The sequence below is a fragment of the Homo sapiens genome, chromosome 8 (assembly GCF_000001405.40).
Source record: "Homo sapiens chromosome 8, GRCh38.p14 Primary Assembly".
Classification (NCBI taxonomy): Eukaryota; Metazoa; Chordata; class Mammalia; order Primates; family Hominidae; genus Homo; species Homo sapiens.
Genome location: NC_000008.11, coordinates 25,309,948 through 25,325,944, shown reverse-complemented (window position 1 = coordinate 25,325,944; position 15,997 = coordinate 25,309,948). Strand labels below are relative to the sequence as shown.

The following is a 15,997-nucleotide window of genomic DNA, read 5'->3' as shown; positions in this document are numbered from 1 at the left end:
GTTTGGACAGGAAACTGATTATATTTCTTTGCCAAGCTCCTCCTCTTACTACCAACATCTCTTCCTGCACATACTACACAGAATGCACTATCAGGGAACATACGGCTTTTGAATTTTACAGTTGCTGTTAATAAATGCATTTATAGGTTTTAAGATATTAAATACTAAAATGTTTTTCATCCTGCTCTAAAGTGGACGATGAAACTTCAGAAGAGGCTGTGCAATGTGATCAGCACTACCCAGAATACCACTTGAAAAGCAGAGAGCAGAATCCAATTGGCCAACATCCTACCTAATAAGACCCAGCCCCATATAGTCCAGCCCTGTGAGCCTAACCAAGGAGCCCAGAAAGGCTGAGCAAGAAGCTTATTTGTGTCAGTGTATTCACCACTCCTACCATTCTGGGTGAGCTTTGTGGAGCAGATGAGGGTGGCAATCTGAAAGCTGTCTTTAGTGCTATCCTTGCTTGGGGTGAAGGTGACCAGGTTTTTGGATGCTTGAAGCTCTTTTTCTTCCATCTCCATCTTGGTTCCAGGCAGGGTCAGGTAGAATTTAGCATCTTCCATTTTTTTGTTGTCACCCTAAAAGGAAGCATGTTAGGAACACCAAATGATGGCCAAAATCTCTTATATGCAAATAAAAACAATTTCTATCATGCATTTTCAGCATGAGAAGCGTGGACTTATCAATTTATCCTGAAGATCCCTTCCACCTCTGAGATACTCTGATATCTTTCTGTAAACATTGAGCCCAGAAATAATTTCATGATTGAATGGAAACAGAATAAGTTGTGAACTAGAAACCAGAATATCCTAGTCTCTGTTAGAGTAAATACACATATTTCAGAATAAGGTTAAATTTCATTTTCTTCAGTCTCTAAATGGGGACAATTCCAACAATGATAGACTGGATTAAGAAAATATGGCACATATACACCATGGAATACTATGCAGCCATAAAAAAGGATGAGTTCATGTCCTTTGTAGGGACATGGATGAAGCTGGAAACCATCATTCTCAGCAAACTATCACAAGGACAAAAAACCAAACACCGCATGTTCTCACTCATAGGTGGGAATTGAACAATGAGAACACATGGACACAGGAAGGGGAACATCACACACCAGGGCCTGTTGTGGCGGGGGCGGGGAGGGGGGAGGGATAGCATTAGGAGATATACCTAATGTTAAATGGCAAGTTAATGGGTGCAGCACACCAACATGGCACATGTATACATCTGTAACAAACCTGCACGTTGTGCACATGTACCCTAAAACTTGAAGTGTAATTAAAAAATGGGGACAATTATACTTTATTGGGTTGATGGAAGAAGAATTAGCTTGCCATCCCTTCCAAAATGATTCATAAACTAAGATGTTAAGAAAAATATTCCTCAGGTAGATGCATCTCAAAAGAGCAGCCAACTGTGGGGAAATCCCCAGATATTGTTGGCTAAATGAGATCTTCCAGCATCTACTTTATACTCTAAAATCTCAGTAGAAGTGGGAGCTCAGCATCAGTTGGAAGGCAAGAACAAAGACAAAACTTTCAGGGAAGGAAATAAGGCCCCCAGAGCACAGAAATAGTATGTGGCTCATGGTGATGGGAAAACCATATCCACCACACACTACTGAAGCCCAACAGTGCACCTGTCCATGTGCCATGCAGGATGATGAAAAGAGCAGATCATGAGAGGCCGACCCCTTACCATTCACTGCTAGGGAACACCATTCACAGGACCTCTCCCGTGAGAGGTCTAAGGAGGTGAGAGCCTCCTTAGAAGACTCAGTAATAATGCAACTCACTCTCTCCAGAAAGCAGGTGGGAAACCACAAAGCTGGAGGGCCCAGAGCCCTCTGGGTTTCTAGATGTTAATGGGCAAGTACAGAAAGCTCTAGAAAGGTTTCTGATGTTTGTACAAATAAATATGAAAGGAGTCTTAAATGCTCATTTGAAAGGGAGTATTTTTCTCAGCCATTTTCTGTTAGCACCACCTTATAAACCACCAGATCGTGCCTCCCATCCTGCAGAGTGGTGCCATCCGGGTTCATCAGCTTCACGAAGGCCACCCCAAATGCTCGCTCCGATTTATCTCTGGCTGAAAAGGCAGAAAGACATGTCTGAGCAGTGCAGAGAGACACCAGGAGGCGATGGCTATGACACGATTTCACATTTTGCTCGGGGGTGCAGCGTTCAACCATATTCTAATAAGCACAACTGAGCAAACTGCAATAAGCCACGTACCATGTGCCACTGAAACTGCCTGGCACCCCCAAGTATGCTCTCCTCTTCCTACATCCCCTAATAAATGAGACTAGCATCTGCCCAGTCATCCAAATCAGAAATGTGGGTGTTGACACCAACTCCACCCCACGTCAACTCCATGTCCTAAACAGCTCTGGAGCCTGTCTCTTCTCTCTCCATCTTGCTGTCCTTCCTGACTTCAGGCCACACTCACCTCTTCTCTTTATTTCTACAAGACCTTCCCAGCGCATCTCTCTGTCTCTAGGCTCTCCCACCAAACACATTCTCTATGTTGGAATGAGGTTTCCAAAGTCCAATCCAATCATGTCAACCACGCTGCTTCAAAACACTTGAATGAGAGATCTCAATTTATGTTGCTCTAAAACAGGCTCTGCAAGATATTTATTCTACTCTAGGGTTTATGGTGCTGCCCAAAGTTTCTTTACCCTTCCTCCCCAGAATACCAGCTCCAGTGCCAGGAAAGAAGATCTGCATGCCCTGTGGCAGCTGGGAGGAGGGTGCAGCTTCATGAGGAGGCAGAGCTCCTCTCTCTTGGTCTTCGGGGCCAGTCTCTGAACTCACCGGGTCCCCTGCTTCAGTGGCTCTGAGTAGGGTAACCTGTGGCCTGTTTTTATCATAGGCACGGCTCTGTGGTCTGCTGTGCCCCTTGGGTCCCCACAGTGGTGGAGTAGTCATCCATTGTATGATCATACCTCAATTTGTTTATCCATTCTCCTATTGATGGGGATTTAGGCTATTCTAGTGTTGGAGTACTATGGGTGAAGCTGTTATGAACATAGACCAACCCCTCCCAAAACCTCAAAACCAGAAACCACCCTTGAATTGCACCTCCTTAACATGGCTGAAAAACATCTTCAGCCTTCATGATCCGGCTCCAGCCCAGCTAGAATCAGATTGTCTGGGTGCTAACCCAGCCTGGTCATATGCTAGCCTTGTGACCACAGGCAAGTGCCTAACCTCTCCATGCCTTAGTTTCTTTGTGTATAAATGTAGATAAAAGTAGAATGTACCTTGTTATATTATTGTGGATACTAAACAGGACCATGTACAAATATAGCTTCACATAATACTTCATACAAACTTGACCTTTGTTAATTGTTAATTGACAATTGTTAGTTATTATGCAGAACCATATGAAATGGCTGATATTTGGCCATTTAGACCTAAAAAATGCCAATTTCACACGATTCAACCTGATACTATTATTGCTCCACTGGTCCTGCTTTAGCCATACTGAGTTCATTTGGTTCTCCAAACACACTTCTCCCATCACCCTTCACTGGGCTAATTTCTACTCACCTTCAAGTCTCAGCTAAGATGTAGGAGGTCATATGCATAAATCCCCCAGACTGGGTAAGGTGCTGTGCTACGCTTCCATTACAAGTCTTTGCCCCTTGTAATGTACATATCATACTATTCCGTACATAACCACCCACTTTTTCGTTCATCTTCCTAACCAGACCACAAAGACTCTGCGTGGGAGTGTCCAGCTGGCTGTCATAGACCAGGGCCTCGCCTGCAGCCTGTTGTGTAGATGGTGTTCAACACATGCATTTTTGGAAGGAGGGGTTACATTTTTATGCAGTGCGAAATGAGAATAAGACGATTCCAGAAATTTTGTGATCAATCTGAAAACAATCAATTTTCTTCTCTGCTTACACTTTAGTGTAGCCATTTCAAGAACTGTGACCTAAGACTTGAAAGAGTTTTTTCATGAGAAAAATGATAATTTGGGGAGACAAGTGAATAAAGAGTTTTCTTGCTACTGCAACATGGCAACACGCATTGTGAACGTCTAGGAGGGAGATACAATGTATATATAGCCTTTCCTATACCTATTTGATTGTGAAATACAACACTTTTTGTTATAGAGCATCTAGTAGCATCTTAGAGCAGGGGACCTCAAACCCCAAGCCATAAACCCATACCAGTCTGTGGCCTGTTAGGAACTGGGCTACACAGCAGGAGGTAAGCGGCGGAGGAGCAAGCAAAGCTTCATCTGTCTTCACAGCTGCTCCCCACTGCTCGCATTATCACCTGAGCTCCGCCTCCTGTTGGATCAGCAGCAGCGTTAGATTCTCACAGGAGCCGAACCCTATTGTGACCTGTGCATGCAAGGGATCTAGGTTGCACATTCCTTGTGGAAATCTAATGCCTGATGATCTGAACTGTCTCGTTGCAGGAAAACAAGCTCAGGGCTCCCACTGATTCTACATTATGGTGAGTTGTATAATTATTTCATTATATATTACAATGTAATAAGAATAAAGAAAACAATAAATGTAATGTGCTTGAATTACCCTGAAACCATCACCCCACCCCTGGTCCTTGGAAAAACTGGCTTTCACAAAACCAGTCTCTGGTGCCAAAGATTGAGGACTGCTGTCTTTGAGAATATTAGTGTTCACAAAACACATTTTGAGGAAATCCTAATATAGAGTGACAACACAGACCTTGCACGCCCAGCAAAATTCATTATGCTGATTTCCTTAGCACCAGTGAGTTACAAAATACAGCTGCCAAGTCTCTAGTTTCCAAATATCTTGTTCTCCAGCTTCACAAGATGGCTGTCAAGCCAGAGCAAATTTTTTTTAAGTGGAAATATGTCATAGACGTCTTAATACTTACTTTCCTGAGATGACCTGTGTCGGAAGGTAAATCTTATATGACAGCGTGTGACTTCTTCTATAGCAATGGATACCTGTGTCATAGTAAGAAATTAATAGTTTACAGACACACAGTACTTTGCAAGCATGGTTTATTTCATGGAATTAGGCTCAATTTTATACTTTCCACAGCACAAATTACTAGAGAGTGAGATTTGGTATAGGTTTCATTCAAAGGAGACTGAGCTATTTTCAAATCAAAAGAATCTCAGATCATCTTGCTGTTTATCATAGATTCTGAGCATAGGGATACTGTGAATTTCTAGCATTTTCTGAAGTAAGAAACAGTAATACTTCAGAGGGGAAATACTGGTATTTTGAGGTCCACACAGGATCTTTCAGACTGCAAGATGTGTATAAATATAGTAATAATTGGATCTATAAGACCTGATTATTCCATAAAGAGGGGGAAAGGTAATAATTAGGGCTCATAAAGCAGTTTTCTGCTGCTTACCTATCTACAGGGGAGAGAAGAAACAGAGCCTTAGGGCACTCAAACGAGCAGAGATTTGTGGTGTGCAGTCAAATCATGGCATGATTATACTTTGGAACCTTATGCAAGTATCTAAAATACATATCTGAAGAATTTATATGCATTGAGATAAGTAGTTTTAAAAAGCACAATATAAATTTGTATCAACAGCATCATTCAAAACATATGAACTATAGAAAACTGTTGAAAATGGTTAATTCTAAATTGAGATATATGAATGCAATTAAAAAATTTTTTTTTCTATGAAGAACTCGTGTGACTTCGACAACCAGAAAGAGCTGATGGAGCCCGGGATTCAGAAGAAGTGGACTCTAGTTTGGGCCCTGATACCAGTCAGCTCTAGGATCCTGGGAAGTCACTGAACTTTGAACTTCAGTACCTAATATGAAAGATGGCGTTACAACACCTGCTTGTTCTAGTTGCAGAGCCCTTGTGGGGCTCAAAGGAGATGACTGATCTGAAAAGCACTTTGGAATGTGTAATACACATATTGAAGTTGAAAAGAGGCCCAGAACACTTGGTGAGAGGCCAAAAATAAAAAAATGTTAGGAAACTGTTTGCACAGTGTGAAAATTTCTGTTTGGTTTTGTACCATCTTGGCAGTCTATTATATCCATCACGTCAACCACAAGCTTTGCTATTCAAATTCTCATACATCACTGAGTTTCTTAATGATAAATGCTCTTAATACAGAATTATAATTACTGATTCATTTCTTACTGCACACCATAGGCAACTTATCTAAAAATTTCAAAATAAAGTAGGAATAATTTGGGGGTAAACAGAAGATAGGAATCTAACTGAGGTTTAACAGATAACAGGGGTTACAAATGACTCATTCTCACCTTGACAGTCTCATACCAACAGGGCTGCTTGACTTGGTAATAGACTACTGATTTGTATTCTGAAATGCCTTCATATCCAGCACCAGGGTGAATTGCTTTCTTCAGATGGAAGGAAAAAATTAGAAGGGAATAATTTTGTTTAGAAAAGTAAGAGGACCCCATATACCATGCACAAGCCCCTCACCCCCAAACACGTCCACACATGCCCTACACTGGCACTGATCGGCTGATTAAGTTTGGGGGATGAAGAACAGAGAAGACTGAATTTCCACCACTTTATTCAAGGGTCTATAATATCAATTTGGTAGCAGCTAAGGAACCCAGCACCGCCTAAATATTCTTCTTTCCTGTAACTTGTATTTTCTCTTCCCTCCCCAGGCATGCATTCTCCTCTGATTCTTTCCTCTTCTCTCTCAGGGAACATGACGATGACGAGAAGTTAGGTGACAACTGCAGACGCGCCGCTATTTGCAGAAAAGCATTTCTCTTTTCCTGTCTACATTCTGTTTTAGGGACTTAGGGTATTGGCACAGCATATTCACTCAACTCAGGGCTGCATCTTTTCCTGGTCATGAACCACTGAGCTTAGTAGAACCAGGCCTTGGTGGGGCACTATCAAACGAAATGACCAACCAGGAGAAGGTGTCTACGTGAAATGAGCTCATGTGCTCTTATCAACAGCACAAATAAAGCACTTTCATACAGTGGCTCATAGCATTCAGTTTCTCCCTCTCATGCAGAATACGACTTGCCTTAGTAAACTGCCTAGCTATCTGCTTCCTTAATAGATTATAACATCCATGGCAAGTGATGAAATTGTATTTCATTGTAGCCTCAAACAACTATGCAACAGGACACTCAGTGAGTCAAGTCAATCAAGAGCTTGGTCCTTGGTTACCAAAGCAGTTAACTACGGCTCATACGAGAAGAGGTGGAGTTCAGCAGAGGCCATGCAGCCTCCTGTGACCACCTCCTGCCTATCCTCTTTGATGTCAGAATTGGGACTCACTTCTTTATGTGGGCAGAAAGCTGGCAGATACCTGCATTAGATCTTGTCTTAATTAAAAAAAAAAAAAAAAAAAAAGAAGGAAAGAAAATGGAAAAGAAAGGAAAATAGAAGAAGGGAAGTGGAGGGGGAAGGGGAGGAGAAGGGAGGGGAGGGGAAGTGGGGGAGGAGAGGAAAAGTGGGGGAGGGGAGTGGAGAGGAGAGAAGGGAAGGGAGCGGAAAGACAGAGAAAAAAAAAGAAAAGAAAAGAAAGAAGAAAGTAAAGTAAAGCAAAGCAAAGCAGGCAGCACATGGTGGCTCATGCCTGTAATCCCAGCACTTTGGGAGGCTGAGGCAGGCAGATCATGAGGTCAGGAGTTCGAGACCAGCCTGGCTAACATAGTGAAACCCCGTCTCTACTAAAAATATAAAAAAAATCAGTCGAGCATGGTGGCGAGCACCTGTAATCTCAGCTCTCCAGAGGCTGAGGCAGGAGAATTGCTTGAACCTGGGAGGCAGAGGTTGCAGCAGGCAGAGATTGTGCCACTGCACTTCATCCTGGGTGACAGTGCAAGACTCCATCAAACAACAACAACAACAGCAACAAAAGAAAGAAAAGAAAAGAAAAGAAAAAGCTGCCAGAGTTGGAGGAACACTGGACTGGAATTCAGGATACTTAGATACCCTCCCAGCTCTGCCACTAACTCCTGTGTTTCCCAGAGACAATAACTCATCCTTTTAAAGTTTCTTACAGTTTCCTGTTCATTAAAACTAAAGAGTAGGCTGGGCACAGTGGCTCACGCCTGTAATCCCAGCACTCTGGGAGGCCAAGGTAGGTGGATCACAAGGTCAGGAGATCGAGACCATCCTGGCTAACATGGTGAAACCCCGTCTCTAATAAAAATACAAAAAAATTAGCCGGGCGTGGTGGTGGGCGCTTGTAGTCCCAGCTACTTGGGAGGCTAAGGCTGGAGAATGGGGTGCACCCGGGAGGCGGAGCTTGCAGTGAGTGGAGATCGTGCCACTGCACTCCAGCCTGGGCGACAGAGCAAGACTCCGTCTCAAAAAAACAAACAAACAAACAAACTAAAGAGCAGTGGTAGCGGATGCCTACCCCAGGGCTCTTCCAGTTTCAGTCTCTGATGAGCACATCTCCTTTGGTTCTGCTCACCCAGGGAAGGAAACATGCTTTCTGATGCTATTCGAGCACCCAGGCCACTTAGCTCAAGCCTAAGAGGAACTGATCAAGCTTGAAAGTGGCTAACTAAGTTGAAAACGATAAATAACATCTGCATTGGAAGCTTACACATAAAATCATTAGTGGCTGGAGCTATTTCTTAGCACAGGAGAAATATAAAAATAAGAGTCTAGAAGAGTCTAGATAGCTTCCTTAGTGAAACTGCTCACTGCTAATCACAAATTTAACAGGCTTTATATTTCTTTTCTCAGGAAAAATCAAACCCATCCTGATGCAAAGAAGAATTAAAATACGGCCAAGATTCTATCGTGATTGTAAAGACGGATGCGATGGTAGCAGGATTTCTGGGCCATGCCGCGCACCTCCAAGAGCTTGCCCTCCTCATCGTGCACAGACATCGTCACCTCCACATTCTTTGGCGTCTTCTTCTTCCCTTTGTCAAACTCACCGTGGATCAGGGTGACATAAATGTCATTCCGAACATCTCCTGCAACATGATAAGCATGCTGTGAGTGTTGCTGAGAGAAGTCATTCTAAGTTTCAGAATGTCATACGACATAAAAGGTAAAGACAACACGAAATGGTCTGGTTTTATACTGAACTACTCATCCGACAAAAGGCTTTCATATGCGTTTGCTGTCTTCAGCTTATCACATTTTACCTTTCCATGCATACCAAGATGTCTTTGCACTGTAGTTTTACAGAAAATTAAGTAGTAATTCTTTCTCTATTAAAAATTTCTATCTAATAATAAATACATAGTATATATTGTTAGGTTACAGTGGCAGACGGTTTTTCAATAGTGCCTTGGAGAGTGTGATATTTTGAATACATCTGATAATAATGAAGGCAATTGTCTATTGAGTGCTTATTATATGCTGTGCCAGGCAATGGTCAAAATGTCTTATATGTATTAATGTAATCGATTATAGACTAACTTGTTAATCTACAGAACAACCTGATGAGGTAGACACTCTTTCTGAAAGCCTATAGAGTATGTTTTTCTTTTTTTTGATACATGATCTTGCTCTGTTGCCCAGGCTGGAGTGCAGTGGTGCAATCTCGGCTCACTGCAACATTGGCCTCTTGGGCTCAAGTGATTCTCTCACCTCAGCCTCCCAAGTAGCTGGAATTACAAGCACACATCACCACACCTGGCTAATGTTTTGTATTTTTTGTAGAGAAGGGGTCTCACTACATTGCCCAGACTGGTCTCAAACTCCTGGACTCAAGCAATCTGCCCACCTCAGCCTCCCAAAGTGCTGGGATCACAGGTGTGAGCCACCATGCCCAGCCTAGAGTACTTTTTATTTCTTTAAATCAGTTTACTTGATTTTATCAATGAAAGAATGCTTTCTGCTGCTCTTTTTCTTTTTTGTTACCCAGCAAAAAAAATTTTAATTAATAAATGTGTGGCCCACATATTGAAGAAAAATATTAAATGTTATTGAGGTACATAAAAGAAACTTGGAATAAATGTGAAGTATATTAAACTCCTAGATGAAAAAAGTATTGAAAAAATGATTCCAACACCTGCACTATATTAAACTGCCACCCAATGTAAAAAACAAAACCTTTTAACACTATAAGAAAACAGGAGTGCATATTTAGAGCACTGATCGTTTTCATCATTTCCTCAACTGGAAAAAAATAAGATACTGCTTATCACTTGCTGAGGATGAAGAAAAAGGGGCTTATTCACACAGCACAGTTTGAAATCTTACTTGACACACTCTTTGTCAATGGAGAAACTGAAAATGTGTCAAAAGTCTTAATACAGCAATCCCACTGGTAATATTTGTCTCAAAGTATTAAAAATGTGGGCAATAATTTATCTGTAAGGATATTCATTGCGGTGTTTATAAAAGTGGAAACATGGAAACAGTCTCGATTTCCAAGCACAGGGAATTAGTTGAATAAATTATGGTATAATCACGTAATGGAGGTAACATTCATTTTAAAAAGTGCTTGAGCTCCTACTCTGCAGCAGGCGTGTGCTGGGTGTCTGGGTGGCTATGGTGAGCCACTCACCAGCCTTGCCCCAACTCAGGTTACAGTCTAGTGCCAGAGAGAAGCACCAGTCAAATAATCTGCACAAGTAAACCCACCATTAGCAATGGAGGAATGTGCCAGGCTCTGTGAATGCACAATACCAGGTCCTGACCTCGTCTGCAGGGTATGGGAATCTTTCCTTTCAGCTGTTAGCACAGTCAGGGAGAGTGGCCTGTGCAAAGGCCCAGAGGTAGGAGACAACCTGACTGACATCCTCACAGTGAGGGGGTGTCTGGTGTGAGATGAGGCTGCAGAGACAGATATAAGTCAGATCCCCCTGAGGCCGGTGGGCAAATTAAGAATTTTAATATTTACCCTCAACATAAATGAAAGTCAGTAAGATGTTTTCAGCGAGGGAGGAGCGGGATGAGATCAGGTGTGCTTACAGAATAGAACATTCAGGATGCAGTAAGGAGAAGAGAAAATGAGCAAAGAAAGAACAGAAACATGAAAACCAGGTAGGAAGCTACGGCAGTTGTCCAGGGAAGAGGTCATCGTAGCTCCAATTTGGGTAGTGACAATGCAGATGGAGAGAAGGGAGAGAGAGACTTGAGAGTCCTTTCAAAGGTAATGCTGACAGGTCTTATCTACTAATTTATGTGAGTTATAAAGGAAAAGGAGATATCAAGGGTGACTTTCTGGCTTCTTGCTTGTGCAGTGGATGGATAGGTGGGTGGATGGATGGGTGGGTGGGTGGAGGGAGGGATGGATGGGTGGATAGAGGTTGGGTACGTGGATGGATGGATGGATGGATGGATAGATACATGGATGGATAGAGGTTGGATAGGTGGACGGTTAGATAGATAGGTGGACGGTTGGATGGGTAGGTGGATGGGTAGGTGGATGGGTGGGTGGATGGATGATAGATGGGTGGGTGGGTGGGTGGATGGATGGATGGATGAATGGATGGAGGTGCTATTTTCTTAGATAAAACACAAGAGAGGTGCCTCAGGCCTAGATGCACAGAATTATGAGGTCCAAATGGGGATGCTGAGTAAGAATTAGCCAATTAAAGCAAGGAGGGGCTGAGTGTTGTGGCTCATGCCTGTAATCTCAGCACTTTGGGAGGCAGAGGCAAGAGGACTGCTTGAGCCCAGGAGTTCAAGATTAGCCTGGGCAACATAATGAAACTTGATCTCTACAAAAAAAAAAAAAAAATTAAATTAGCCAGATGTGGTGGCTCATGCTTGTAGTCCTGGCTACCTGGGAGGCTGAGGTGGGAGGACTGCTTGAGCCTCGGAGATCGAGGCTTACAGTGAGCTATCATCACACAACTATACTCCAGCCTGCGCTACAGAGCAAGACCTTGCCTCAAAAAAAAAAAAAAAAAAAAGAGGGGAGTCCTGAGGCAGGAAATAGCTGGCTATAGGGTCCTAGAATTCATTAAAGAGGTCTTGGTCCTGGAGCTACAGATTTGAAGGTGACAGGCAGATGAAAGCCAAGTGAGTGGATGATACCCCTAGGGAGAAAACACAGGTGAGACAGAAAGAGGGCTGTTCTGGGCAGAACTGTGTCCTCCCCAAATTCATATGCTGAAGCCACAACCCCTAGTAACGCAGAATATGACTGTATTTGGAGATAGGGCCTTTAAAAGAGTAAGTAAGGTAAAATGAGGTCATATAGGTGGGCCCTAATCCAATATGACTGGTGTCCTCATACAAAGAGATTAAGACACAGACATGCACAGAGGGACAACCAAGTGAAGACGAAGGGAGAAGATGGCCATCTGCAAGCCAAGGAGACAGGCCTCACAAGAAGCCATCCCTGCTGTCACCTTGGTGTTGAATTTCCAGTCCCTGTCCTTTGTTGTGAGAAAATAAACGTTGTTGACGCCACCCAGTCCGTGGTATTTTGCTATGGCAGCCCAAGCACACTCACACAGGGTCTCAGGACCAAATAACAAGGAACTTCAACATTTAGAGGTGAAGCAGAATATGAGAAGGTGGCAAAGGGGTTCTAGCAGAAGCCCCAGGGAAATGGAGAAGCAGAGAAAAGTGAGGGGTCACCAATGAGAAGGGAAGGAAATATTTCAACAATGTCAGATGCTGCTGAGAGGTCAGAGTTGATCGCTAGGCTAGAAAACTCCCATCAGATGTAGCGATACCATGATCATGGGTGACTCTCATGAGAGCTACTCTTGAGAGGCTGGAGTGGGGCTGGCAGAGGTGAGAACAGAGAAAGAGCGTGGACAGAATCACTCCTGCGATGCTGAAGACGAGAGTCAAAGCTCCTTGCTAGAGGGCAAGGGGGTACAGGGAAGAGTTTAGGAGGCAACTGGAACGAGTTCACGTGGTGATGGGACAACAGGAAGGAGTTCTGAGCCCAGGGAGTTGGGTCTAGACCTGAATTTCTCAGACCTGACTCACCACCAGATCACCTTGGGAGCTCTGAATCGGTCTCTAGAAATCTGGGAATCTGTATTTTCAAGGAGATCTTCAAGGAGATCTTGATTAGCTGATCCACATACTAGCACTGGAAACGATTGTTCTAGATGAATTTTTTTCTCTTTTTTGAGATGGAGTCTTACTCTGTTGCCCAGGCTGGAGTGCAGCGGCATGATCTCACCTCACTACAAACTCTGCCTTCCAGGTTCAAGTGATGCTCCCGCTTCAGCCTTTCAAGTAGCTGGGATTACAGGCATGCGCCACCACTCCCAGCTAATTTTTTTTTTTTTTTTTTTGAGACGGAGTCTTGTTCTGTCGCCATGCTGGAGCGCGGTGGTGCAATCTCAGCTCACTGCAACCACCGCCTCCCGGGTTCAAGCAATTCTCCTGCCTCAGCCTCCTGAGTAACTGGGACTACAGGTACACGTCAACTCGCCCAGCTGATTTTTGTATTTTGAATAGAGATGGGGTTTCACCATGTTGGCCAGGCTGGTCTTGAACTCCTGACCTCAAGTGATCCACCCACCTCAGCTTCCCAAAGTGCTGGGATTACCGATGTGAGCCATCTGGCCTGGCCGTATTCTAGATGAATTTTAAAACCAATGTAGCCCTTGGCATCCTATGAACCAATCCTATTGACTTAAAAAACAAAACAAAACTAAATGTTCTTTTACAAGCCAGATTTAAAAGGTAAACTCACCTTATTCAAAGGCCTCAGGAGAAGCCAACCCTGCTGTCACCTTGATCAAAGAATAAACTTCTCTACTTTATTTTTTCAGATTTGTGTCTTGTTGTAGTAGTAAAACAACCTTCAGGTAGAGAATATTACTACTAATTTTTTTTTTCCTTAACAAGAAGACAAAACATTTTCCCAGAATGTTGATGAATGTATATCAGGGTAAAATAGCTATGTAATGGACAAAATAAGCAAAAAACTATCTTCTTTTATGAGAAAAGGAAAAAAGAGTGATCTCCATTTTATAACATTTTTATTCATTCCTTCCACAAATACTCATTTAAGACCCACTACATGTAGACAATGTGGGCAGCAACAAGTTATCACTGCCCCTTAATTTCTCAAAGGAGAAATAAGATTTTGTATTACTTTAAAATAACCTAATTTTTTTTTTTTTTTGGAGGCAGAGTCTTGCTCTGTTGCCCAGGCTGGGTTGCAGTGGTGCGATCATAGCTCACTGAAACCTCTGCCTCTCAGGCTCAAGCGATTCTCCTGCCTCAGCCTCCTGAGTAGCTGGGACTACAGGCACCAGCCACCACGCCCAGCTAATTTTTGTATTTTTGATAGAGACAGGGTTTCACCACGTTGGTCAGGCTGGACTCGAAGTCCTGACCTCATGTGATCTGCCTGCCTCAGCCTCCTAAAGTTCTGGGATTACAGACGTGAGCCACCATGCCTGGCCTAAAATAACCTGAATTTTTGTGCAATAGGTAAGTTGGTTTTCTAGAATTTTTCTAACATGGTATGGTTGTTTTTCTTTTTTCTTTTTTTTTTTTTTGAGACAGAGTTTTGCTCTTGTTGCCCAGGCTGGAGTGCAGTGGTGCGATCTCGGCCCACTGCAACCTCCACCTTCCGGTTTTCAGCGATTCTCCTGCCTCAGCCTCCCGAGTAGCTGGGACTACAGGCACGTGCCACCACACCCAGCTAATTTTTTGTATTTTTAGTAGAGATGGGGTTTCACCATCTTTGCCAGGATGGTCTCGATCTCTTGACCTCATGATCCGCCCACCTCAGCCTCCCAAAGTGCTGATTTTACAGGCGTGAGCCACCCTGCTCGGCCAAGCCATGGTTGTTTTTCTAGAATTTCTATTAATATCAATTAGTTTATAGCAATATGTATAAAATTCAAGGGACCAATTCCCTTTTCTTAGTATGGAGATTAAAATTAAATGGGCGAAGTCAGCAAATTCCAGAGAACACACACATATGCAGATCACTAGAAAGAAGATGAAACAGGAAAATGCTGACATTCTTGTCACAACAAGAACAGGGAGAGCCAGAGCGCTTTTGGAGCTTCAGAGAATGGAGAGAGCAAGGCGCCCACATGCTGGGGATGTCATAACAAGAAAGGGACACACAAATGAGGCCAATTAGTCTCCTGAACAGAGCACCCTGTGCTATTTGAGAGAGTCTGCGTAAAAGAGAGAGTAAGAAAATTTGAGTTATGTTTAAAAGCATTATCTTGGGCTTGCACACCGTATATCAGTGTACTGTACTTGCACACTGTATATCCAACTTCCAGGAATTTTCTCGGGGAGATAGTCTTAAACGTGGAAAAGACTTCATGGTAAGGATAGTCAGAGCAGAGGTTTTTATATTTGTAATAATGACAAATTAGGAAGCACCTAAGTGTTTAAGTATTGCAGGTGTCTCTGTTTGTGTCCCAGGTGTCTCAGGACCAATGAATGTAAATAACCAAGTCTTCTGGATCCAAGTTGCCTCCACCGTCCAATAAGAAATAATCGCTGAACAGGAGGAAGCAAACAGGTGAGCCATGCAAAGTGCTTACCTGGCAGTATGATTTCAGGAAAGCCCATCTTCCGGGCTATTGCTGTTGATCTATCAACCAAGTGTGAAAAATTCTTCTGAACCTGGGTGAGGTCACCGGGCAAGAGCTTCAAGGATACCCAAAGGCCTTAAAAGAAATAAAAGATAAACGTTTAGTTCTTTGTATGATGTATAAAACACATGCGTAACTGGTGAGAAGAACATTTGAGTTGTATAGTCACAACCTTACTGTAAAGATGTAAATTCTCCCCCAGTTGACTTATAATTTTAATGACACTTCCATTAAAATCACAACAGGACCTCTTTGAGAATTTGACAGAGATGTGAACAGATGCTAACTTTGGGGGAAAAAAGGGGTAAAGATAGACCCTACCAGATACCAGAATATATAGTAAAGCTACAACCATCTGTGATCCTAGGGGTAAAAAAGATATATACATGAAACAATGAAACACTATAGTATATAGCAATTTAATATATGGCAAAAGAGGCATAACAAATCATGAAAAAAATCCAATAATTACATGAATATGCTGGGATTATTTTCTTGCTACTTAAGAAAATTTAATTTCCCATCTTGTATTTT

At 42.8% G+C, this 15,997-nt stretch overlaps 1 protein-coding gene across 1 annotated transcript in view; it reads right to left on the bottom strand.

Annotated features, from left to right (window-relative positions):
* The window catches only part of DOCK5 (dedicator of cytokinesis 5), a 231,023-nt gene that overhangs the window by 89,767 nt on the left and 125,259 nt on the right, over nt 1-15,997 (bottom strand). Inside the window, exons 13-18 of the mRNA NM_024940.8 lie at nt 15,413-15,538; nt 8,814-8,938; nt 6,269-6,367; nt 4,893-4,965; nt 1,994-2,097; nt 398-581 (exon numbers count right to left, since the gene is read on the bottom strand). Coding sequence (NP_079216.4) covers nt 398-581; nt 1,994-2,097; nt 4,893-4,965; nt 6,269-6,367; nt 8,814-8,938; nt 15,413-15,538 — 711 coding nt within the window. The remainder of the gene's footprint in view (nt 1-397; nt 582-1,993; nt 2,098-4,892; nt 4,966-6,268; nt 6,368-8,813; nt 8,939-15,412; nt 15,539-15,997) is intronic.